The sequence below is a fragment of the Homo sapiens genome, chromosome 5 (genome assembly GCF_000001405.40).
Source record: "Homo sapiens chromosome 5, GRCh38.p14 Primary Assembly".
Taxonomy (NCBI): domain Eukaryota; kingdom Metazoa; phylum Chordata; class Mammalia; order Primates; family Hominidae; genus Homo; species Homo sapiens.
The window spans coordinates 147668357-147695334 of record NC_000005.10 but is presented as its reverse complement, the minus strand read 5'-3'; the positions used below and the strand labels follow the sequence as shown (position 1 = coordinate 147695334).

The following is a 26978-nucleotide window of genomic DNA, read 5'->3' as shown; positions in this document are numbered from 1 at the left end:
ACCTTAGAGGTAGTTGTGGAAGGAAGCCGGGCAATTGGTGCCAATTTTCTTTTCTTTTTTAGCCTCTCAACTACTAAATAGGCTTTTCTTTATTTAAGCGTGTATTCAACAGCACTTTAATTTAGTTGGATCATTGGCAACTGTCCCTAAACTGCCAAACTTAGTACAAAAAAAATCATTCCATAAGAGTCCTGGGTGTTAATATTTAACGCATTGTTAGTTTGTTTTGAGTCTAGCTTGATCATAAATACTCATGCCTAGCAGAAATTTGAGAATGAAGGGAGAAAATCCTTCTGATCCTGCATCTGAAATGGTTACATATAAAACAAATTGGCTCGCTTGCATGTGCTTTTATTATCCTGTGCCTCCAAGTTACTCAGCCTCCAGTGTGGAACCTTAAACAAACACAAAATTTGTCACAATTTGATAAGCTCTGAGCCCATATGTGCATACTTTCATCAAAAGTACAACAGACTTAAAATTTAATTTCTATGCCTGACAAAACAGTTGAGTACTCTGTGTTTTATTTTCTTCATTTGACAGTTGTTTTTATTTTCACAGTAAATTTTTCAAAGATGAATTCTGGCTATTCAACAGCAAAGAAGAGTGAATCTGAAAAATACCAAGAGATAAGTTTAAGAAAGATGCAGTCTCAAAAGTAGAAGTGACATGAAGGCACATTCAGGGAGACATGAGAGGCCAAATTACACATCAAATTGTAAAAGCTGCAGATGGACATTGCCAGTCACCAGGAGGGAGGGAGAGACAGGAAGGGAGAATGCCAAACAGCAGCTTTGACAAGCATAGCCTATCAATTTCACTAGACAATTATAGGATCTGTAGGAATCTTGTTGCCTTGTTCATTTTCCTGTATACCCTCTTTATTTCTCAGGAAGTCCTGACCCGGGGTAATGACTGCTTGTGGTGTAGACAGCCCATCAAGGAGTCCTGTTCCTATTTTAGCTGCCCATGATATGACTGTGACTCCACAATTAACCACAAAGACAAGATGAGAGACACCCAAAAAGAGCGCAAGCTGCTGACATCTCCCTGGAAAATCAACTTTATCCTCTCTAGCCAAAATGGATCATTAAAGGGGTTTTTTCTAAAAAAACTTGGAATCTTCCCAGTGTAGGCAGTAGAGATTTCCAGCAGACAAGTCAACATTAAATCTGAGGTTGAATGAGAGTGATCACATTTGACACCAGGACAAGAGCTAGGTTCTAGCCTGGCTATTCTGATACCAATTTAAAAATATTAATTGGCTCTCTTAGGAGAGGAGATGTGGGAATTGATGTAGCCCAGCTGCAGACTAAGAGAAGCTATTAATCCAGTGTCCATCGTAAACTTCACCTATCTGGAACTTCAACAACCAAGTTCTTGAAAATGTTGTTAGTAGAAAGGATTTATTTGAGAAGGGGCCACCACAGCAGATATGCTTAATTACTTTGATTTTATGAAATTCTATTTATTTGATCAGAAGTATAACCCCCAAATTAATTGTAATTCTAAGGATTTAAACCATTCAGTTAACATAAGATTTTAACAGTCGTTTGAAATTTTGACTTGACAGGACTGAAACGAAAGTGCAAAAACTTGAACTTAAAAATCTACTATAAAATAAATTAATGCTTTCAAAAGAATGAAAGCAGGGAGTTTTAATTCCAATTTTTTTTTTATTGTAACATTTTATTTTGTGCCTCTTACTCTCTTGCCACAAATTAAAACATTTATGTTTTCAGCCCCTTTTTTTATTAAAAAATGTGTTTGTGATATCTCTTTGCCACCCGTAATCCCACACATCACTCACCTATTTTGTTCATTGCTGTCTGATTCTTAAAGATGAAAAGGGAAAGTGATTTGCAATGTGTAGTTCTGATGTAAGTAGGTGAGAAAAGCTGAATGACTACTCACCATGATCTCATCAAATGTCACATGTCTGATAATATTAATGGTGAAAATGTATGGAGGTTTACAATGTGCTTATTACTTTGGTATGTATTTACATGAACAGTATTAGTTTATTAGATGCATCCAAACAACTACTCTGTGAGGGAGAAATTAAAAGCTGGGCAGAGAGATGTTAAGTAACATGCCCAAGGTCACACAGTTAGTAAGAGATAAGAGCTGGCCTTTAAGCCTAGGGTCTGACTCCAGAGTTCTTGTCCTTAAGCATAAAGCAACATCATTCTTCCAGTAATTTTTATGATATGTGAATATCATATTATATTTATAAAGAGCTAACTTTAAAGATAGGAAAAAATGTATAATTTTACTGTTTCCCTCAAATAAAAATTGTTTACAATTTTAGGTCATATACAAAATTGGTGGCACACATAATTATGATTGTGCTGGTTGATAATAAGATATAAGATAAAAAGCATTCATTTTCTCTAACAGAAATGATTTGTTCTCATTTTTCACAGTTTTACAGTAATTATCATCAGTGTTAGTGTTGACAGTTTTCCCTGATATTAGGAACTGCTTTGTCAATCTTATTATTACCCATAGACTTTTAAAAAGACCATCGTTCAAATCTAGATGGAGAAAGAGAGAGCGAGCTTTATTATGCTTTCAAATGGACCGTTTCCGCATGTCCCCAGGTCAAAATTACAAGTGCTGCACTCTCTTCTTGTCATTCATCAATCCATTCATTCATTTACTCTCTTTCATTTAAAAAATGTTTATCATACTGTTTTTATATTAGTCATATGAGCAAACACCCTCCCTACTTTCACAAGTCTTTCATTTTAGTGGGAGAGATAAATATTGATTTAAAAAATCAAATTTATAACCACAAGCTGTGATACATGTTATTTAGAAAAATAGCTGATATTGTGAAAACATGCACTAGAAGAACCTGGCCTGATCTGAAAATCTCAGGAAGATCTGTATTTATTTTCTAGAGCTGCTGTAACAAATTACCACAAACTGGTGGCTTAAAACAACAGAAATGTATCCTCTCACAGTTCTGGAGGCCAGAAGTCTGAAACTGGGTGTCAGCAAGCTTGGTTCTTTCCGGAGCTCTAAGAAGACTATTCCGTCCTCTCTTCTAGCTTCTGGTAGTCACTGGCATTCCTTGATGTTTTTTGATTTGTAGACACAATGCCCCAATCTCTGCCTTCATTTTTACATGACATTCTCCCCTGGATATATCTGTATGTTTGTGTCTAAATTTTCCTTTTTAAAAGGACATCAGTCATCTTGATTACATTTGCAGAGACTCTATTTCCAAGTAAGGTGACATTCCTTGGTACTGGGAGTTAGGACTTAAACATATCTTTTGAGGGACGTGACTCAACCAACAACAGCTTCCTTGAGTCAATGACACTGGAGCTGAGATGATTAGAATCTATGGAAGACAGGACTTTGCAAAGGGAATGGGACAGGTAAAGTCTCCGAAACAGGAAGGACCATCCTGTTTAAAGACTTGAGAGAAGGACACAGAGACAAACACATGCACAGGGAAACACAGGAGCAAAAAGTCTCAAGGAGTCACCCACGGCGCTGCTTAACCGCTCCCATGCACAGACTCCCCTCCCATGAGGCGTGGACATCACATCGCCTTTGCTCCAGGTCTACCTCCACTGACCAGCCAGCACCCTCATGTGCCCTTGAGTCAAAAGAGAAGCAAACACTCCTCTCTTCTGGGCTAGACTTTAGGAGAGAAAGTCTATGTGGTAAAGAATCCTTCAGGGCCAAAGCTTGGGTTGTGCTATATGAACACAAGGTTCGGGAGAAGGCTTGGGTTAAATCCCAGCTTTGTGCAGCCTTGGGTAAGTGCATGATTCTGAGCCCCAGTTTTTTCATATAAAAGGTGAGGTGAGTATAGCGTCTGCATCGTATTCAAGTACTTTGTAAATTTCAACAATAAGGAGAAAGAATGCTACTTGGAATAGGGAAGATGAAAAATCCTTGGCCTTTTAAGCCTAGCATAGTTCATCCAAATTACTTCACAGTAACAGAAGGAGCTGGGTGGGGGATGGGGGGAAACTATTAATAGCATTCCCCAGTCTGTGTACCGTGGAGGAGGTGAGAAGGTTAATAGTAACAATAACATTTCATCTGTGCACAATGGAGAGGGTGGGAGAACAAATATTAATCATTTTAATAATGGAATATGTTTACAGTGGTTTATGGGTAACAGTGTTTTCTCATATACAATCTTATGCAATGCTTGTGTCTCCTATCCCACTTTTAAAATAAAACTCATGTATCTGGGGGATGAGAGAGTTTTAAAATACCAACCTCCCTATCTGCTAGCACTTTGACTGGAGTAGTCCGTCACATTAACCAATCTTGAGAAGGCTGAATGAGTGGGTGAGATAACCCATGAGGAAAAGGAGACCAGAATAGAGCTTCAGGCACCTACCCCCAGGAAGGTGTTGGAGACAAGGGAGAGAGGAGAAATCCCATTTTCTCCCAGGACCCATCCTGTGTACCCAAAGGGTCTCAGCATTTCCAGCAACAGATCCAGGTATATAATTTGTCAGAGTTGTGGTCAAGGTTAGGTTTATCCAGCAGAGGGCCACACAGTATGCGTCATGCAATAGCCACGAAGCACTGGAGAAGGAGCTACACACTCACCTGAGACACATTCCCCAGAGGGTTTGCAATGAACCATGTGAGGCATCCAGGAAGACTTTTTGATCCCTCAGTGAGATGGACCCTGTTACCTCATATATCTTTCCAAAATGTTTTTATGCATGTATGTACCTATAGGTCCACATAGATGTGTGTGCATATGTGCATATATATATATATATATATATATATATATATATATATATATATAATCTCTTTAGTTTTTTACATGAATGACATTATACTTTGGACTTCATTCGTCATCTTGCTCTTTAAATGTTTTGAGGTGCAACTAGCCTCATTGGTTCATGTAGATCTTCCTATGTGTTTTTAAACTATTGCATAGTAATTTATAGACTGGACATACCACTTTATTATGCTGGTCCCTTTTTTATTTTTGTTTTTTAAGCTTTTTTTAGGGACAGGGTCTCAATCTGTCACCCAGGCTGGAGTGCAGTGGTGCCATAATAGCTCACTGCACCCTCAACCTTCTGGGCTCAAGTGATTCTACCACCTTAGCCTCCCAAACACCATGCCTAACAATTTTTGTTTGTTTGTTTGTTTGTGGAAACAGGGTTTCACAATGTTGCCTAGGCTGGTCTCAAACCTGTGGTCTCAAGCGATCCCCTCGCCTCAGCCTCCAAAAATGCTGGGATTACTGGTGTGAGCCACTGTGTCCAGCCCAAGCTGTTCCCCTTTACATGGACAGTGCATTGTTTCTAATTTTTCACTATGACAGTGTTGCACAGGTGTGGGCTAGATCGTCATGAAGTCTCTCATTATTACCTTTTAACATACTATGTAACTTACATAGTTATCTTGCTGATTTTTGTTTCACTCTGCTAGAGTATAAACTCCAGGAAAGCAAGGATGTTTGTTTATTCTATCCTCAGCTCTATCTCCAGCCCCTAAAACTGTGTATGCAGTGAATATTCATTGAACAAATGTGCTATAGCCATATTCTGCAGCCACATATAGTTATGGTGTAACTATTATCCTCTTAATAGGAGGACAGCTCTCTGAGGGCATGGACACCCTCAGAGTGTTTTAGCTGCAGTGCCTGGCACAATGCCCTGCTTAGAGTGAGAGCTTTATACATTTTAGGAACAAACAGTAACGTGTACTGTTTAATACATCATCAGATCAACGTGGCTCTGCATCTCAGCTCAACTTACTGATCCCATGATTCTGATGAAACATCCACCCAAAAAGGATTACCATCAGCTTGCATCTAGTCCTATCACCACCTCCCTTGCTTCCACTCTCTAAGCCGCTACCATCTCCAAGCTGGATTTTTGCAGTGACCTCCAAACCAGTCCGCTTAATTCCACCCTTATGCTCAGTCTTCTCCTTTTACTAGAGCAGTCAGAGTAAAATGTTAAAAGCTAAGTCAGATCAGGGCACTGCCCCTCTCAACTCCTCCTGTGGCTTCCTACCCACTCTGAGTAAAAGCTTAAATCAATGCAAAATGGCCTAAAAAGCACAGCATGGTCTGCACACACTGCCCTCCCATTACTGTCTGCCCTCTCTTTGGCTGCTGTCCTAGCTCACTCATTCCTCCAGCCTCCCCGGCTCCCTGAAGTTCCTGGAACTTGGACGTCTGTGCTCACTGTGGAGCTCTTGTACTATTTCCTCACTACCCTGGCACGCTTTCCCCCCCAGGCATCAGCCTTTAATCAAATAGCAACTACTTAGGCTTTCTCAGATCTAAAATCACAACACCACCTGGATCCTTCCTGTCGACCTCTGTTCTGTATTATTTTTTCCCATAACACATTATTATTATAATCTAGCACAGTATATTTACTTAGCATGCTTATTATGTGGGTCTCCAACTAACATAGCAGCTCCATGAGCCAACGATGTATGTCTGTTTTATTTATTCACTGCTGTATCTTCCATACCAAGTACAGTGCTTGGCAGCTATGCAGCATTCAATACATATTTGTTGAAGAAGCTGATTTTAGAACAGAGCACTTATTTGACACATACCATGTGAAACGCTTTACCGGCCTTATTCCATGTATCTTTTGCCACCATCCTTTAAGGGTGGGACTATAGTGATGCGGTTGAGAGAATGGGCCCTAGAGTCTAACAGCTTAGATTAAATCCTATCTCCATTGCTTACCAACACTGAGCAGAAGGTCAATTATTTATCTTCACTAAGTCTCTGTTATGTGAATGATTAAAAGGGAAATATTAATGACTATTATTTATTATTATTAGTTGCATTTAATCAGACTCTATGAAGCAACCAGTGCAACATCATAAGAAGTTTTTCAACCACAACCCTAGATCTAGGCACCAAATCCCCTTTTATTTAATTATCTATCTCATGTGATCATTTTACAATGCAATAGCTATGTTGTGCATACGGTTTTGCAGGATTAAAGCACTCCCTTGCCTGAACCCTATTTCACATAGGAAAAATATTAACTGCTAGTTTATAACCACCCTAAAAAATGGGATTTCTAAGTGAAAAGCCCTAAGCGATTAATTCAATCAGTGCTCAGAACATTATGACAATGAATGATACATAGCCTTGTGTTAAATCTTCATAATGCTCTGGACAGCAAATGTGTTTAGTGGCCTTACACTTTGACTTCTATAGAACAGGACTTCTTTGTAAGTCATCTGAGAGTTCTAAAGGCAATAATAGATATGAAAAAGAGTGTTGTGTTTCTGGTCCTAAGAGAAAGACAAGGACCATGCAGCGGTTAAAACAAATGTTTTGGAATCAGGCTGAAGTGATTTTAAATTTTGTCAGACACATCAAAGGCTCTCAAAAAACATTAACTGAGTCAATGAATGGGTCCTACGCATACAAGTTGCATGACATTGGGCAAATTTAAAAGTCTTCATTTTGTGTTTTATGTAACTGCAAAATGATACCTACTTCATGAATTTGTTTTAATGAGTTAATACATGTACAGTGGTAAATACTGTGCTTGGCATGTAGAAAGATTGCAATAGAGTTATTATTAAATAGCTTATTTCCATTCTGCAGTTGAGAAAATAGAATTGTCTTCTCCCAAATTAAATGTTTTACCTGTCGTGTGAAGGGTAAGAATAGACCAGTTTTAATATCAGATATAAAAATGAGCCCTTTCTAAATTCTCTCCTCCTTCTGCATGTTACCTGCAACTCCAAGCTAATCAATAGTCTTGATACATCCATAATTCTTACCAAATTTTCTTACATAATATTTACTCAATTCTTCTTTATTGCCAGGACCACAGGGCAAATCCTCTCTCATCTTTCAAGACTCAGTTTAGCCATCCCTTCTGTTAGACACACTCTCTGTCTTTCCCAGGGAGTTGGAGCTCCTCCTCTGAGTACCAGTAGTGCCTCGTTTGCTTCTCTGTTTCAGCACTCATTACATCTTCAGGCCTGCAGTTCATTATTTACATGTTGGTCTCTCCCAGTGGGGAAGAGTTGTAGAGAGGATTCATAAATCATACGTTCAAGGCTGGAAGATGACTTTTAACACTCACCTCAGAGCATTAAAAAGATAATGCATGTAAATAGATTTGCACAGTGACCAGCAGTAGTAAATGGTCAATAATGACAATTATGATGATGATTAGCAGTAGTAGTAGTAGTATTCATCTGTCACAGTAGGAGGTGAGTAAGTGGATGAAGAACAGTAATTATCTTTACAAGTGCTATGATGATCTAGAATATTATAGGCCAGGACTCCAGGGCTTTGGAATATCAAAGATTGCTTACTATACAAAAAGAAAACAATGGCTCCCAGAATCTTCTGAGATTTTAAGATATATAAGAAAAAATTATGAGCCCTGGAGATTTGTTTTTCCTAATAAGTTGTCTATAGAAATAGCTTAAAACTTAAAATGAGAAATTATAATTCCTAGTTTCATGTGCCAGGTAATAAAGAAAATGCTGGGAGGAAAATGTGTTTCTCAAATATAAATTTCTTACATTTGGAAATATATTGCTCAATTTTTAAGTATATAAATACAATTAATATACTACAGAGTTTAATGTGGATAAAACATCATTAGGTTTACTCAATGGTAAGTGACACTTCATGCTGTAGTCATCTGTGCTTTGGAAGAACAACATTAAAATTTTGCGGGTTTAAGGAATTCTTTACTCTTGCCAATGATAAGTTCATTTTGGCTCCATTCAGGTACCCCTTCAGCAAACATTTTAGAGTTTCTACTATGAGGCACTGTGCTAAGCACTGCGGATACAGTGGTGAACAGGCCCAGGGAAATCCCTGCTTCTATAGAGCAAATATGTGATAGAGACATTGAAGGGAAAAAAGTGAACATTATAGGGTATCCAATTTATTTCCTTGAGTGATTTGTACCCGTGAGTTTGGTAAGATATGCGTGAGAGAGGCTGGCTTCCCCAAGAAAGGTAGATTTGATGGAAAACAGTGCCCCCCCACCAACACTGATTTCCAAAAAAACGATTTATTCAAGTTCCAATCTAACTGACTGCACAGTCCCTTCATGAAAAGAGACTGGCATACATTCAGAAGTTTGTTCTGGCCTTGTTGATTCCAATTAAGTCAGGTTTTGCAGCGTGGACAATTGTGCTGTGACTCGCTGTGACTAATGGCTGGTTCTCTGTTCAATGAAGAGGAGAGGCACTTTAGAGCCCAAAGCATTTCAGATTAGGAACAAGGTCCCTATGTTTGCATTAATTCCAGCTTTTCATGATGTTATGCCAAAAGCATGGCCATTGTGTTCCAGCCTCACTCCTAGCTTCAGCTGGTTGTCTACCTTATTTTCCCTTTGCTCCACTTGTCCTCACTGAATTCTGTGTTTTGCTTCCCACCATATCCGCCACCCTGCGCTATGCCAGAAACATTATTTTATTCTGATTATAGAAGCTATACAATTATAGAAACCTTAAGGAAAAGAAAAGCCTCAATTATTTTAAATTAAGATCTCTGATCATCTGCCATTCAAAAAAAATTACTGCTATTTGAACACCTATCTTTATATATATAAACATATATGCTATCTACTTCATTTTAAATGCCTTACATCACATTATGTTGAAGTTTATTTCTATAAAGTGCTTAGAAATTGCTTTCAAATAAGTTGTGGAATAAATTTTTTAAGTAGGTAAATCAATAAATAGTAAGAAGATGGTACTGCTTTCCCTCAAATATGATTTCTGTAAAAACAAACTGAAGTATTTCTAGTACAGTATTTCTGGTACAGTTGGGCTTATAGGCTCCGGAGTAAGGCTAGCCATGTTATTATGCACTGCCTTTGCTATTTACCACCTACAATTTTGCACAATCTATATTTCTTCTTTGAGCTTCTTTTTCCTTAATATAATAGTTAATATAGATCATTTACTGTAGTGCCTAGCTTATACTAAGCCCCCTGAAAATATTAGCTTTTCTTATTTTGAAACACATGGGTGACTTCTTTGATCTTACTGAGTTCATTGATGTTACCTACATTCTTCCAATGTCCCTTACTGAGAGTTGGGTATCATCTTCAACCTTTCCTTCTCTCTTTGACTATTGCCTAGTAATGAGCACATTATACAGACTTTTTCTGCATTACATACTAGCTTGAGAGAAGCACTAAGAAGCTTCAGGCTCAAACACATTCTAATTATGTCTTTTGCTAGCACTGTGACTTTGCGTAAGGGATTGACCTCCTATTAACTCAAGTTATAGGGAAATAATAACTCCATGTATCTCATAATCTTGTTTTAAGTATGAAATGGAAGGATGCACAAAAATTGCTGCATTGTACAGTGGTCAGCACACACTAAGTGCTCTCTAAAGAGAAGATGTGGAATGATGAAGAAAATGATAATGGTGAGATGAGTAAGTTCCTTTAGCTTAGGAAAGAGAAAAGCTCTTCTACCCCTCCATCATAATCCAAGCTTCATTTTTTATCTCTGATCATTTGCAATAGATTTCTATCAGGACCTACAGCCTCTAATTTCTTTCTCTTCCCTTCTGCTCTGCATATAACTTCAAGATTAGCCCTTCTTAGAAAAAAAATAGAGCGTGCCTCTTCTCTTAAAAATATTTATCACATTCCCAGTAATTATTAAACCAAGTAAAAATTCACTACCTAGGCAGGCAAGACATACATAGTTTGCCTCCAGTTTATTTTTCTAACTGCACACCTATTGGTTTCTCAGATTAAACTTTCCATACCAAACACAGTGATCTACAATTTATTCCTCACACTTATCTCCACTTGTCCTACCTTTTTAACTTTCCTCAATCCCTCCTATTCACCCTTCATTTCCCAGCCTTAATCATAAAATCTTCTGTTTTGGTGAAGTCATCTATTTATTCAGAAGTATTTTTTCAGAATTTACCTATGCCCAATATTATATTAGACACTGGGATTTAACAGGGAGCCAGATATAGTCTTGGCCTCATGATACAATTCCTCTTGTTCTCAGTGTGTGTGTGTGTGTGTGTGTGTGTGTGTGTGTGTGTTCTCTGGCACTTAGAATATGCAGGCTTTTTTGGTAGATACATATTGTATTATCTTTAACTCTACCACAATGCCTTGCACATAATTATGGTCTAAAAGTTAGTTGATGGTCTGATTCCTGAAGTGATTTTCCTGTGGAATTTGGCCTATGTGGATACGTTGACTACCTTCCATTAGTCAACCTAACGGTCTTGCTTTTAAGATCCCATCAACTGGACAGAAAATGTAGGTGAGCACTGACCCCTGGGACAAAACTCAAAAAAGAATCCTCAGTGTTAAAAACAGATCTGTATTGCTCTGTAATTTATTCCTATATTATAGATACCATAGTATAACATAGGGAAAATACTAATAGCCAGTTTCTCTTATGTAAAGTATGGAAAATTAAATGCAATTCTTTATAATAGAACTATGTAATATATCCGAAAGCTATTTTATCCAACCTTCATGTACTTTTACTTAAGTAATATTAATCTGTATACATCTTTATATTGAAATTGTTCTGCCTTTTTTAAGTAGCAGGCACACATTATTCTCCTATATATAGACATTTCTGCTCATGTCTGACACCTTGAAAAGGTGGCTTTATGATAGCTTTTTAAAAAAATTCAAGACCTTTGAAAACAGTCACCAAGGAAACAACAGAATAGGTTATATATGTTTCACTTATGCCTAAAATAGAAAATCTTGCTGTCAGTTATAAATATGTTCTATGAAAGCCACTCCCTCCAATAATTTGGGCATTTTTTTTAACTTTACATGCTAGGGATTTTTGTTGTTGTTGTTGTTTGGTTTTGTTTTGTTTTTAAGACAGAGTCTTGCTCTGTTTCCCAGGCTGGAGTGCAGTGGCATGATCTTGGCTCACTGCAGCATCCGCCTCCCGGGTTCAAGTGATTCTCGTGCCTCAACCTTCCGAATAGCTGAGATTACAGGCAGGTGCCACCACGCCCCGCTAATTTTTGTATTTTTAGTACAGATGGGGTTTCACTATGTTGGCCAGGCTGGTCTCAAAGTGATCTGACCTCAAGTGATCTGCCTGCCTTGGCCTCCCAAAGTGCTGGGATTACAGGCATGAGCCATCACACCTGGTCGCCAGATTGTTTTTAGTAACTGTGCACATATACAGCAATTACCTGCCTCAGGTGGGGGCTCTGATGCATGTTTCTTGCTCTGCCTGACCTTGAATACATAATTGCTTCCCGCTCTGTTTGAGATTTCTCCTTCATGTCCAATGAAGTTGACACTTCTTACTCTGCAACAGCTGTAAAACACTTTGAATCCAGAGAAAAAATACAATAAAATAAGACTATATGACACTTAAAGACTTACTTTGTTAAATTCATCCTAGCAAAAGCCTTCTAAATCCAGACAAAAGAGTACAATACAAGATGACTTACCCAGTGCTGAGGAGTGAAATTAAGCTTGTTACTATGATGGATGGAGGCAAGGATTAAGAAATGTCAGCAAGTGGCTTAAAGAAAAATACATTTAATTTTATTGTTTATTCTAGTGTTACATCAAGCTTTAACTTTTACCTGAAACAGCCATTCAAGGGCTCCTGCAAAATAAAAGAAATTTCCCATAATAAAGCTTATTATAAATGGTCTCTGTAGAAATTACAAAATATGTCATTCAATCTCAGTGTTTTCCTTGGATCTGGATCAATGTTAATTAGATTGAACTTCATGGTAGTCATTGTTGACAGGTACAATGAGCACAAAGATGAATAACACACAGTTTTACTCTTAACTGGGACTCAGTCACCTGAATAATAATTATTGAATAGTTATCATTCTGTATATATACTGGATTATGGCCACATTCTCCTAACTGTTCTTTGTATACCTGTGTTCACCTTCTTAGTTCATTCTACCTTCTACTGCCAGAGGAATATTACTAAAACCAACATTTCATCAAGTCACTCCCCTATGTGAAATCCTCCAGTGACTACACATTGATTTGTGGATGAAGTCCATAACTTTGACATGGTTTAGACTACCCTCTACCATCTGCCACTGCTTACCTCTCCAAGCTGACCTCTTGCCATTTTTCTATTCACTCACAAAACTTTTGCCAGTATGTCTCTCCAGAGCATCATTCTTATTCTCTTTTACCTCTAGGTCTTCATGCTTAGCATTCCTTCTGCCTAGAATATTCTTCTTTCCCACCATAACCCTTTGCTTACTGGTTCCTTCCTTCTTATTTTACAGATCTTAGTTACATATGTCACTTTTATTTTTCTTTCTTTTTTTTTTTTTTGAAACAGAGTTTCATTCTGTCACTCAGGCTGGAGTGCAGTGGCACGACCTCAGCTCACTGCAACCTTGACCTCCCAGGTTCAAGTGATCTCACCTCAGCCTCCCAAGTAGCTGGGACTACAGGCATTTGCCACTATGCCGGGCTAATTTTTTGTATTTTTTGTGGAGATGAGATTTCTCCATGTTGCCCAGGCTGGTCTGGAGCTCCTGGACTCAAGCGATCCACCTGCCTCGGCCTCCCAAAGTGCTGGGATTACCGGTGTGAGCCTCCACACCTGGCCAGTATGTCACTTTTCCTAAGGAATCTTTCCTGACTCACTGAGATTCCTATGATGCCCATCTCCTGTCCTCTGTATGATTATCACACTGTATTAAATTGCTGATTCCTCCCCTAGGGTGGGCAAGTATGCTGTCTCTCTTGCTTAGCACACACATGTCCTCCACCAGGCACTTCATGAATATTTGTATTTTAGTGAGTTAATAAATTGAAGAATCAGTGATGAATGCTGTAAGAAATATCTTCAAAGTGAAAATGAAAACCCGGATGAAGGAATAATTTATTCCACCCGGGGTATGGTGAAGAGGTATGAAGAAAAGTGGTATGACATGATATTTGATCTGGCCCTAAAAGATGAGTAGGATGGAGTTCACCAGGGAGTTGAGGGAGGAAAAGGGAAATCAAACAAAGAATTGCATGAGCAAAGTCAAGGGTTTGCTTAGTAGATCAGTTCTGGATGAATACTACTTGCTTTGGATCTCAACTTAGACATTACTTCTACCAAGCCTTCCTGGCAGTCCCCCTTAAAGAGGCTGGATGTCTCTTGTATGTGTGCTGAGTGCTTTCTCTCCATACTTTATGAAGCATATTTCAAATGTGAAGTTTTAAACCTGAGATCCAAATTATTTATTTATCATGAGTAATAACTTTTTGGTTATATTTATATAGCATTCTTTTCATGTGAAACAGTGTATTGACATTAAATAATTTGTAACAACTACTATTATGATGATGTGATAAAGACAGCGATTTCATACACTAGGAGAAAGAAAACAAACCAAAAGTCATACAAACCTGGAAATTTACAATCCAAAAGATGCAAAATTGCTACTATGCTGAATGTGAATATTTCACATTCATTTTTCTCTAACTGACATGTAATGGATTAAAACTTTTTGACTCTATAGCCATGCCACCACATTCCCTTTATTAAGAGAAGGTAGAACTTCAATGTTGGACTGGCTTAAATAGCAGCCCTCTCTCCTTTACATTAAATTTTTGGGTCAAATTTATGAATACACAGTGTGACATTTTTCCTGCATGGAGAAGGGTTTAACAAGTGACAGGATGTCACTGCAGGTGACCAGGAATAAAGTATGCAAGTTTACTTCATTCATTTTAAACACTAATAGCATCTCATTGAAAAGCATCATCTTTGGAAAAGAAGGGAGGCTTAGAAGAACTAAGAAGGCTTTGTTAGAATTGACATATCCAAATATTAATTATAGAGAAGGGTTGAAGCATTTAGCTTCATACATGTGAACGCAACTATTTTATATAACAGTTGCTTTCACATCACATTGCAGTGGCAACAGCCATATTGGAAACCTTGAGATTAATAATGACTTTATTCAGCTTATAGCTTGGGGCAGAACCAGCTACAAAGCCAAGACCCCTGGGAATACTGACCCTGTCAATGTAGGTCGTATTTCCCCAGAAGCAGAAGCATGGATTTCTTTAGTCTCTTCAGGGATCTCTGTGCTTTCTCTACCCTGTCCTTTTAACACAAATAGGTGATAAATCAGTTTCCTATTCCCTCTAAATTTAAGATGATGTTTAGTGGATAGTTAGGTCATAAAAAAGGAAATATAACAATGATAAAAATAATTTGCTAGTTATCTTATATACTTTAACTCATTTATTCCTTGAAACAGCTCAATGAGGTAAATACAGCACTTTTCCTATTTTACAGTGAGGAAACAGAAGCTTAGAGAGTTTAAGCAACTTCTCAAGAATATACAGCTAGGAAATTTTATTCAAAACCAGTTTCTGATTTCAAATTCCAAACTCTTAACTGTTACTAATCACCATTCTATTTTGTACCATTCTATTTCATACACTCTCCTAGTGTATGAAATCGCTCTCTTTATCACATCCCAGCTGACACCTTTGCCACCTCTGTAGCCTGTCGGCAACCAGAGCTGAATCCTGCCCTCTCTTTAGGAAAGTGTTATTATAGCTAAGCCGCTTTGGAGACTGACATGTGTATTTGAGTTGCAGCTCTGCCATTTCTTAACTGTGTAACTTTTTGCAAGTTAATTAACCTCTTTGAGCCTCAATTTCCCTATCTAAAAACTAATAAAAGTAAATGTCTGCAAAGTTTAATTGGAATAGTTCAATGAGTTAATGCCATTGCCTGGCACAGAGTAGGAGCTTCATTAAGGTAGGTAATATCATTCAGGCTCAGCTCAATGCCATCCTTTTTATGAAGTCTTCATGCTTTATCACTCCACTCTGAGCTACATTCATAGCATTTACTATTCCCTGCTTTCTAGAATTAGTTTTCTTTTTGCAGGTGTTTGTCTCCTCTCTAGGTTGGAAGCCACCTAAAGGTAGGAATGGTACACTTTTTAACATCTACCAAAAGCTAAGAAGAGTACTCAGTAAATAGTGGCCATATTTTCTTGACCACGTGGCTACATTTCTGACAAAGAATTGTGTGGTATTTTATGATGTGAGAGTCAGTAGAAAATGTAGTTGGAGGCTGGGGATGGTGGCTCACGCCTGTAATTCCAGGACTTTGGGAGGCCAAGGTGGGCAGATCTCTTGAGCACAGGAGTTCAAAACCAGCCTGGACAACATACAGAAACCCCATCTCTACTAAAAATACAAAAATTAGCCGGGCATGTTGGTGCATGCCTGTGATGCCAGCTACTCGGGAGGCTGAGGCGTGAGAATTATTTGAACCTGGGAGGCCGAGGTTGCAGTGATCCAAGATTGTGCCACTGCACTCCAGCCTGAGTGACAGAGGGAGACTCCATACTAAATAAATAAATAAATAAATAAATAAATAAATAAATAAAAATGTAGTTGGACATCAAAACAGTATTTCTAGGATATTTTTACTTTCCTGCACAGAGTATACAACCAGGATTATAACCTAAGATTGATAGCATGAATTCATCACATTTTTTTCTTCTGAAAAGTTTTTTTTTAATTTTCAATTTTTATGGGTATGTAGTAGGTATATACATAAATGAAGTACATAAGATGTTTTGATACAGGCATGCAATGTGAAATAAGTACATCATGGAGAATGGGATATCTATCCCCTCAAGCATTTCTCCTCTGAGTTGCAACTCAGTTACACTCCTAGAATCATTATTTGTAAATACTTATAAATTGATTTGATGTTTCCAATTTCTTGATTTTAATATTGCAGTGTTTGTCATTCAAAAAGAATAATGCTATTATTCAGAATAACCAAGATATGAAATCAACCTCAGTATCCATCACCAAATAAATGGATAAAGAGAATGTGGTATAAAGTACTATTCAGCTTTTAAAAACAAAGAAAATTTTCATTTGTGACATGGATGGACCCAGAGGACATTATATTAAGTAAAATAAGCCAAGTACAGAAAGACTAATAGTGCATGATTTCATTTATATGGAAAATCTGAAAAGGTCATACTCATACAGTAGCAGAGAGTGGAATGGTGATTAAGCGGGCCAGGGGGTAGCCAGGCGTGGTGGCTCACACCTGCAATCCCAGCACTTTGGGAGGCTGAGGTGGGCAGTTCATGAGGTTAGAAGTTCGAGACCAGCCTGAACAACATGGTGAAACCCCATCTTTACTAAAAATACAAAAATTAGCCGAGAGTGGTGGCGCATGCCTGTAATCCCAGCTACTCAGGAGGCTGAGGCAGGAGAATGCTTGAATCCGGGGGGCAAAGGTTGCAGTAAGCCAAGTTCGCACCACTGCACTCCAGCCTGGGCAACAGAGCAAGACTCCGTCTCAAACAAACGAACAAAAAAAAGGTGAGGAGCAGGTGGGGAGGGAAGAATAGAGAGATGTTGGTCAAAAGATACAAAATTTCAGTGAGTTAGGAGGAGTAAGTCTGGATGGAGATCTGTTGTATAACATGGTGAGTATAGTTAATAGAAATGTGTTGTATACTTAAAAGTTGCTAGGAAAGTAGATTTTAAGTGTTCTCACCACAAAAAAAGTATGTGAGTTAATGCATATGATAATTTGCTTGATTTAGACATTCCACAATTATACATATTTCAAAACATCATATTGTACACCATAAATACATACTTTTTGTCAATTAAAAAAGAAGAATGCTGAATGGGAATTTTTAGACCTGAAAATTTGTTTATCAAGAATGGATTTGGAAGCTGCCTAAACACTAAAAGATGTAAAAGGACTATATTGGGAGTAGATGATTCAAGATGATTTCAGATGGGGCATCCCACTCCTGGTCTCCAGAAGTACCCTGCCAGGAGGAACCTTGGTGAGAAGGGACAGAGGCTGCATTTGCCTCTGCTGATGTCACTCCTCTTCTCTCAGTGGCTTCTCTCCCTCAAGAGTTTTGTGCCAGTTCCTAAATAAAGGGCTCTTTTAATATATAAAGTCTTCTGTAAGTGTAGAACTTGAGTTATCAATAATTTTACACATCCCCTGTCATTCTTATTCAATTTAAGCATCTTGAAGACAGCGCTTATAGGGTATTTTATTTCCTCCACTGTGGCTAACAGTAGAGATAGAAAGCACTCAATAAATGGTTAGTTCTTGCGTCGTGAGCTGTGCAAGAGCATCACTTACATCCGTTTGTTTAATTGCCAAGCAATCCAGTGTCATAGGTACTACATATCCCCGTCCCTCCAAACCCCATTTGAAAGATGAGGAATATTGAGGCCTAGAGAATTAAGTGATTTAAGATCATACAGCTACTAAAGGCAGAGGTGGAATTTAAACAGGTTTGTCTAACTCCGTAGCCCATACTTTTAATCAAATGTTCTCAGAGATGCCTGTGTATCAGAATCATGTGCCAATTACTACATCAGAATCTCCAGAAGTGGAGCTTCTTATCACTAGAGCTCTCAAGTAGATTTTGATGTAACTAGACCAAAGATTCAGGAAGCCCTCCTCTAAAATACTACACTATATTTCCTTCTCAATAAATGTCTGATAAATGAAGGAATGATGCCTGTAATTCTTTCACTAATGATCCATTCCTCCACAAAGGTGTGCTCTTAAGCAATGATCTTCAAAATGCAAAACTTTCTAAGAGGCTGTCTCTAACTTCTCTAATATCTTTATCAGAGATAGAAACCATTACAGAGAAACTCAGCCTCAGAGGCTGTAGGAGGTGCCTGATTAGGGATAGTGGAAGGCCTGAAGAGTAAGCTAAAATTCACATATTTGATGCCTCACAATGTTGCCTGGGGCTACTGCTGCCTGACCATGCAGCTAGGAGCTAGAAATCTAGGGTTCACTTAAAGTTCCTTCAAGTTTTTTATGTTGTAAAGCTCCTGTAGAGATTGGCCCTTAGTGGATGGAACAAGGCTCCTATCCTTCCTCCGGATAATCTGCTGGGTCAGACATCATCAGTGGCAAGGACTCTCGGAGTGTCCGGAAACATTCCACCTGTGTGCAGTGATACCTTCAGGCACGCTCTTTTATTTTATTTTATTTTTTGAGACGGAGTCTCGCTCTGTCGCCCAGGCTGGAGCGCAGTGGCGTGATCTTGGCTCACTGCAAGCTCCGCCTCCCGGGTTCACGCCATTCTCCTGCCTCAGCCTCCCCAGCAGCTGGGACTACAGGCGCCGGCCGCCACGTCCGGCTAATTTTTTTGTATTTTTATAGTAGAGACGGGGTTTCACCGCGTTAGCCAGCATGGTCTTGATCTCCTGACCTCGTGATCCGCCCACCTCGGCCTCCCAAAGTGCTGGGATTGCAGGCGTGAGCCACCGCACCCGGTCCAGGCACTCTCTTTTTTGCACTCAAGAGTGATGTCCCTTGTGATGGCTGGCAGCTTCTGTAGAAGCCTGACCTTAAGCCACTTACACAAAGGCAGCAAGAGAATCCATCAGGCAATGAATGAATAAATAAGATGCAGTTTATCCCTACAATAGAATATTATTCAGCAATAGAAATGAAGTATCAATCCATGCTACAACATGGATGAACCTGGAAAACATTATGCTAAAGTGGAAGAAGCCAGTCACAAAAAAAAAAAAAAAAAAAAAATGTCATATGATTCCACTTATACAAAATGTCCAGAACAGACAAATCCAGAGACAAAACTAAGTAGAGACAAAACACTAAATAGACTTAGTGGTTGCCTAGGGCTGAGAGAGCTGCGTGGGGAATAGTGAATTATGGCTAACAGGTATAGAGTTTCTTTTGGGAGTGACGAAAATGTTCTAAAATTGATTGTGATGCTGTTTATGCAACCTTGTGAATATACTAAAAACCACTGAATTGTACATTTTAAAAATGTGAATGTTACGGTATGTGACTTATATCTCAAAGAAGCTGTGAAAATAAAAAAAAAAAAGCAGCACAAGGAGACAAAAGAGATGCAGTAAAATTAGAGTATGAGAATCATGAGATTGCCAGGCACCCATTACAACTGGAGAAGAGTTTGGAAAGTTCTCCTCCACCAGAGGGGTGTATAGGACCATGGATATGAAGTTGCTCACCTTAAGGCACCCATAGGCTGATGCTATCAATAACTTCCTGTGATGCTTTTTTCTCTTCTGAATGTGCATCTATTTTTTTTTCACCTTTTCCTTTTCCTCACCCTTTGTGGGACTAAGTTCACAATAATTCCCAGGCTAAAAATATATAAAGTCCGGCACATAATATTATATTTTGAAGTAGAATTATAAATTAAGATGTAAAATGTATCTATTGTATCTGTCCCTTTGCACATTTTTGCTACAAGCAATTCTGTAGAACTCATAGTCATTATTTACAATGGGAGAGAAGAATGTTCAAAACAATAGTAACGTTTAAAAATTGGGCACGATTCCATCAGTGACTCCATGTGTCAAAGTTGCCACTTTCTTTTTATCTGTTGAGGGCTGTATTACCCCTCACATGGACCATTAAATCAGCCTAACTGACTTTCTTCCACCATCTTCCATAATACTGACAGTTACCTTCCTAAAATGCAAATACAAGGCAGTGCAGTCCAGAGAAAAAGAGCTTGGTTCCCGGTCTCAGATTGCTTAGATTTGAATCTGAGCATTACCACCAATGACCTTGGTCAATTTAGTTAAGTTATCTAATCTTTCAGTTAATCATATTTCCCTAAACTTTGTGAGAATTAAGTAAGAACAGTATGTTAAGCCCTTCGTCCAATGATGGGCTCGTTGTGAGCAGTCAGTCTCTAGCAGCTGTTATTGTTATTACACATATGTTCAAATGCTGCCATGTTTCCTCATGCCTGTAAAATCCACTCCAAACTCCCTAGCCTATCATGCAACAACCTTCGAAATCTCACCTCGTCTCTCTTCTTCCATTTCACAACCTTTTCTAAATACACCAGGCAAATTTGTGGCTTCAGGTTTTTGCTTAAGCTCTTTCCTCTACCATTTCATATCTGCATTTAGAAAAGCCTATTCTTCATTCAAGAAGACAACAATGAAGGGACTATGAAGCTATTCCCAAGCTCCTTTTTTACTCTGTGTTCCAGCAGCACTTTAGGGATTTGAGGGAAATTGGCCAAAGCGGATCAGATTTTATATACAAAGCAAGCAGAACTTCTTAGTGAACTGAATAAGAGAAACAAGGAATAAAATAGAAGAAAATATAATTTCTAGGCTTATATCTGGGACAATTGGACATGTGGTTTTGCCATTTAATGATCTAGGAAAACCTGGGGGGAATAAGGTTTGGGGGGACTAATGTAACAAAGACATCTGCATTAGTTATGCTAGTTTTGAGATGCCAATCAGATCTATTCAAGTGGATTTGATAAGTAAAGTGTTGTATGTATATACAAGTCTGGTGTTTGCATAATGGGGTGTTGTATGTATATACAAGTCTAGTGTTTGCATAATGGTCGGGGCTGTGGATATAGAACTGTGGGTCATAACTACGTAGGAGGCTGGTGGAGGTCCTCTGGAAAAGCCCAGAACAACAACAACATTTAGAAATCAAATATATAGAGAGAAACCTGTTAGATAGATATATATATATATATGTGAATTTACTCACTCACTACCTACTTGAGTTTAAGTACTATCTTATTTATCCTTTTGCCTATTGGTGCTGGTCACACAAATGTTCAATATGTGCTTGCTGAATTCATTCCAAGACTAAAAGCAAAAAAAGATGGCCTCTCAGAGACCTCGCAGCCCTGCACTTTAATAATTTGGCCAGATTTGCAAAGGAAGCGTGAAGGACAACTCCAGCATCTAGCACAGGATGGAATGTGGTGGACAGTTCTATGACTGCTGCCGACAGTCTCATCCTTCCTGTCTCCTAACCTCTCCCTGCCCCCTTCCCCCAGGGACACACTCCAAAGAGCATAGCTTCAGTGCTCATGAGCAGATGGCACAAAGCCCAGGATCCCAGCATGCTTGTCAGTGCTAGATACAAGGGTCTTAAGAGAGCAGCAGCTGCCGGAACATATGGGTGGTCAGCAGGAGTTCCCCTTAGCTCTGGACTGAAGCTCCTCAACATACACAATGCCCAATTTTCTGAAAGGTTGCAAGAGAAGCTTTCTCTAGGATCTTGTCATGTTTTTCCCATTGACTTTAATGATTTAGTATTCCTATTTTTCTGGGCCCCTTGTTCCTATGAAGTATTCAAGAATTTGTAAATCAAGACACATCTGCCTTCCCCCACCCCTTTTCTCTCCTCTTGCCACAATTCTGATTAGGCTTTCATCATTCTTTACCTGGACAAATTCAGTTGCCTTCTATGTGGTCTTCTTGCATTCATTCTCTCTCCATTCTGCCACCAGAATAACCACACCAAAGTACTGCTCTGTTAGGGCACACACCTGCCAAGAACTTCAATAGCTTTCCCATTGCTTGCTGAAAAAAGATTCCAACATTCTAAGCTTGGAATTCTAGGCCTCCCCGCCATCTATCCTTTCCAGGAAACCTTTCCAATATTAGTGCCCATCAACCACATTTAGGGGTGTAATTAATCAGGCCCTATTTCTTCCCACAAATAGTCACTGTGATTTCTCTCTGTTGTGTCTCGGCACCTGCTTTTTTCTTTGCCCAGGATGCTTCACCTGTTTCTCCATCTGTTATCATCTTACCCACTCCTCAAGTTCCAAGCCAACGGTGTCTTCTTCAGCGAGCCTTTCTTATTCAACCCAGGTGGAAAGACAGTTTACTGTTTATACTTCTGAAACAATTCATGCCTATTTTTTAAAAAACTCTTATCAGATTATGGATGGTGACGTAGATAGATAGATCGTTGATAGATAGATAGATAGATAGATAAATTTTTTCCCATTGGAAGGCTGACTTATTTTTCTATTTCCAAATTCTATACCTAGCACAGCATATGGAAAGAGCTCTAACAATATTGACTGATTGAATGAATGAATGAATATATGAGTGACTCAGTTAATCCGGTGATTCATTTATAGTTATTCCCCACTTCTCACAGTTTAGCTATTACATGTAATCCTGTCTCTATACATTGGCTTTTCTTAAAGTTGGGTCTCTCTGCCTTTTGAGGTCATCACATAGGTGACTTCCTTTAACGACCATGTTCCTTATGTTTGGAGTATCAGTGAGTGACATGGAGGAGATGAGGATAGAAGAGCGAGCAGTTTCAGGTAAAAAGAACACTCCAAGACATGAAAGAGTGAAGGATGAAGGATTTATGCTTCAGGTGAAGGATTTTAAGCAAGATATTGATATAATTAAATTAGCTATTTGAAAAAAAAATCACTCTAAACTCACGTACAAGTGGACAGGAGATACTGAGGATAGGAGAGCCTCAGGAGGAGGCTCTTACAGGTAACTCAGGCTGAGAGTAGACTGACTGGCACTTAGACCAGGTCTTTGCCAAAACAATAACTACTATCTCTGCCTCTTCTCAGGGCTTCCAGGGCAGCGATTGAGGAGACCTTACCAAGGAGCACCACACAGTAGATGCTGAGACATCGTACTCCAGGATAAGAAACAGTAACATGGCAGCACCTGCTTGAAAGAAATTAAAAACCAACAGACTCCATTTAGAAAGGAACAATGTCCAAGAAAGGGCGAAATAAGGGCGAGAAGCCCGAGGCACTCATTGTTGCCCTTCAAGCTGCCAATGAAGACCTCAGGACCAAGCTCACAGACATTCAGATAGAGCTGCATCAAGAGAAGTCCAAGGTGAGCGAGGGCTACCTGAGGTCGTGGCATTAAGAGCAGCTCTGGCTGTGTCCACATGCAGCGAGCACAGCTCTGCCTGCTGGCCTACCCCAGTGGACTCCTGCCCTTTGCCAGAGAGGGCAACGTCCCCTGTAAACATGGAGAGCTTATTGCATGTGGCAGGAGGGAACTGAGCACAGGACACACAGAAAGTGAAAATAGCATACTCACTAGACAGATCTTAGCCTCCTCTGGAAGCCCGGTTCAGGAAGCCAGATATGAAAATTCAGACAGTGTCCCTTACCACCGCCAAACACTTAATAGTTGCATGACCTTGGGCAAGTTCCACTCTTGCCCTCTATAGGTTATTAACTCCCAGAGCATTCAGAGAAGTCCTTCTGAAATGTAGCACATCACGTTACTCCACTGCCCAATACCTTCCAAGGGCTTCCTATCTCTCTTAGACTCAAAGGACTTTCTCTACCACTACAGGATATTAGCTCCATCCCCCTCTTTGACTCATCTCCCACTTCTCTCTCTCGATCATTCTGTTTCCTATTTTTGCTGGATCAAGAGAGAGACCCCAATCACATTTAGGGCCTTTGCACTTGTTCTTCCTGGACAGCTCCATGCTCCTTCACTCACCTCTTTCAGATGTCTGCTCAACCATCAAGCATCTGACCACAGTCTCTAAAACAGAACACTTCCCCATTGTCAGGTACTCCCCATAGCCTATTCTTAGCTTATTTCATAGTAATTCATACATTTGCTTTTTACTTGTTTAGTGCTGTCACTCCTCAATCTCTACAAAAGCAGAAATTCAGTTTACTTAGTGTCCCTAGAGCCTAAATAATATCCAGAACTTAAAATCTCAATATGTATTTGTTGAATGAATAGAGGAATAATTTAAAGATGATGCATTCCTTATACCTCAGTTTCTTCATCACATCACAGCTGTACTGAGGTATGAATTAGATAAGTATATTATGTGCTTATGAGGATTGAACAAAAAAATTTACGTCAGGTGCTCAGAGAGCTGCCTGACACATAATAAACTTGCAAAACATTATAATATTAGTATTCTTTTTAATATTCATAGATTTAAGTCAGTTGCTAACTAGACTTAGAAGTCTCTTTACTTCTCTCAATCCCATCGCCTAAATGCACAAGCAAACACACATCTCACCAAGGTGGTATGAATATCAGAGAGGGTCATGTCTAGGAAAGCATTTTGAAATCTCCAGCATTCATAAGATGTTTTCGCTCCTTGCAAACCAGAGACCACCATGACAGCATAAAGTTGCCTTATTTAGATAATTATACAGTAAGAAAACATTCTTGATCAATAAGCAATAGTCACAAGCCAACAAATATATTTATTCCATTTTTGTCTACCTCTTCTTCCTTGACATCATTATTAAATTTTAATTTGTTATTTCTCCCAAAATCTATTTCTCTTCATTTTAACAATAATAAGTGGCCTTTGGATCTGCCAAAGCCTCTTGCTCCCTGCCTTAGCTAAGCCTTGACCTTAGATAAAGAGACTGTAATGTAAAGTTTGTGAAGAAAATTTTTTAGTTTCCTTGAAGCCAAAGGGAACATGATGTCATTTTAGAACAGCATTTGTTTGGGAGTCAGAAGACACGGGGCATTATTTGTCTTTATCTCTCCTTGGAGATGAATTTAAATGTCACAGTGTCTCTATCTGTAATTCAGATGACTGAATCTGCTTCTCCATATTTGTGCTTGTCAAGCATCACTGTGCAATGGTATAACCTGGGGGACCTGATTAAATATCGAGATTCCTGAGGCCACAATCCAAGAATTCTGATAAAGTAGTGAGGTGAGAACCAGGACTTGTAATTCGGTAAAGCAGCCCTGGCAATTCTGATGGACTACAGATGCAGATGACTTCCAGCCTTCGTGTTGACAAACACTCGCTGTAAGATTCCATCCAGGTCTGACAATCTCTGAACATTTCATTGGCCTTAACTCTCCCTGCAGCAACATCACACTTCAAGGGAGGCAGACTCCTTTAATTGCAGTTATGACAGGATGACAATCTACATTCCTAGGAAGAAGCTTGTCAATCTCGAGACTGGGAACCCTAAACTGCTACTGCTTTCCAGAGAACAAACTGATGAGATTCTCAGAAACAGAGGCTCTGAGGACTTCAACACTGCCAATACTCCACATATTCAAGCCTTTTAAAATGGGTAACTCTCAAGTTTGAACCAGGCTGCCTGTTTATCTTGGGCCTGGCACCGTTGTCTAAGCCCGCAGGCCAAGCATAATCTCCCCTTCCTCTAACAATTGACTGGCAGCCAGCCTCTTAAATGAGAGCACACAGCCTCGTCCTTTTCTCTGCTGGCTGCCCCTGCCTGGCTCCCTCTCCTTGGCAGTTAATTACGGTCCCAGCTCAGGAGCTAAAGGGAAGTCTCATTGCCTGTCAGCATCCTTCGCCAAAGAGCAAAGGGAATTTAGAGGGCAAACAAGTCATAAAGCACTTTTATTATAAATAAATAGGATTGTATTTTCAAAGGGCCAGGCTTTAAGAGAGAGAATATGAACAATGCCAAGGTGTGAATTTATACTCTCAGGTTGGCTCTGAGGCTCTGATGACAAAATGACAGTTCAGCTACTAGGGAATGGATAAGTTAAAAAGTGGAAACCTTTGGGGTAATGGGGCAGTATTCATTTATCCAGCAAGACAAATAATCCCACTGATATTTACAGAACAGCCATTGTGTATAGAGCCAAATTTTAAGACCTTTGGGCTGATAATATAAATAGCTACAACTTATTGAATGTTTACTATCTGTCATGGGCTGATAAGCACATTTCATCCTGCCAGAGTCCCAGCTGCTTCACTAGCACCTGACTGGCCTGGAGAAGGTTATAAAACCCCTCTGTGTTTTTCCTTCTTCATCTGTCAAATGGGACAATAATAGTATCTGCCTCACAAGGGTGTATGTGTGAGTGCTAATTTTTGAGCAATTAGTTTGTGTCAAGCATGTTAAGTGCTTTCATGCCATTATCTCATTCCATCCTCATTTCCACCTGCTGAGGTGGGCATTGTCATCCCTACTTTACAGATGAGGAAACTTCCTGGCCTGTAGGAGGTGCTCAAAATTACTTGTTGAATGAAATCACATGATTCTCTTTAACAGCTTTCCCCCAAACCCTGTGGCATAAGTACCGTTACAGTACTCACTTAGGTGAGAACTCCAGGCTTGGGTAGAGAAAGGATTTCCACCCAGATCTGTCTGCTTCTTGGAGCAGCACCCTGAGCCACTAAGTTGCGGTATTTGCCCCATTTGTCTCTTCTATGGACACCATGAG

General features: G+C 39.2%; 1 protein-coding gene across 7 annotated transcripts in view, besides 1 other annotated feature; it reads left to right on the top strand.

The window, feature by feature from the left end:
* JAKMIP2 (janus kinase and microtubule interacting protein 2) overlaps positions 1 to 26978 on the top strand; it is a 197291-nt gene that overhangs the window by 87394 nt on the left and 82919 nt on the right. For 6 of the 7 annotated variants that reach the window (XM_047417951.1, NM_001270934.2, NM_014790.5 and 3 more), the window contains exon 2: positions 23381 to 23657. The exons of the other annotated variant lie outside the window; for it this stretch is intronic. In XM_047417951.1, the coding sequence (XP_047273907.1) occupies positions 23529 to 23657 (129 nt within the window). In that variant the 5' untranslated portion in view covers positions 23381 to 23528. The remainder of the gene's footprint in view (positions 1 to 23380; positions 23658 to 26978) is intronic. 7 annotated transcript variants of the gene reach the window in all.
* Positions 22288 to 23487: an enhancer, noted in NCBI's record as "CDK7 strongly-dependent group 2 enhancer chr5:147051411-147052610 (GRCh37/hg19 assembly coordinates)". NCBI's record gives its function as "activates an origin of replication core promoter dependent on BRD2, BRD4, P300/CBP, MED14 and CDK7 cofactors, with strong dependence on CDK7, by STARR-seq in HCT116 cells {active_cell/tissue: HCT116}" and the evidence as "EXISTENCE:reporter gene assay evidence [ECO:0000049][PMID:35650434]".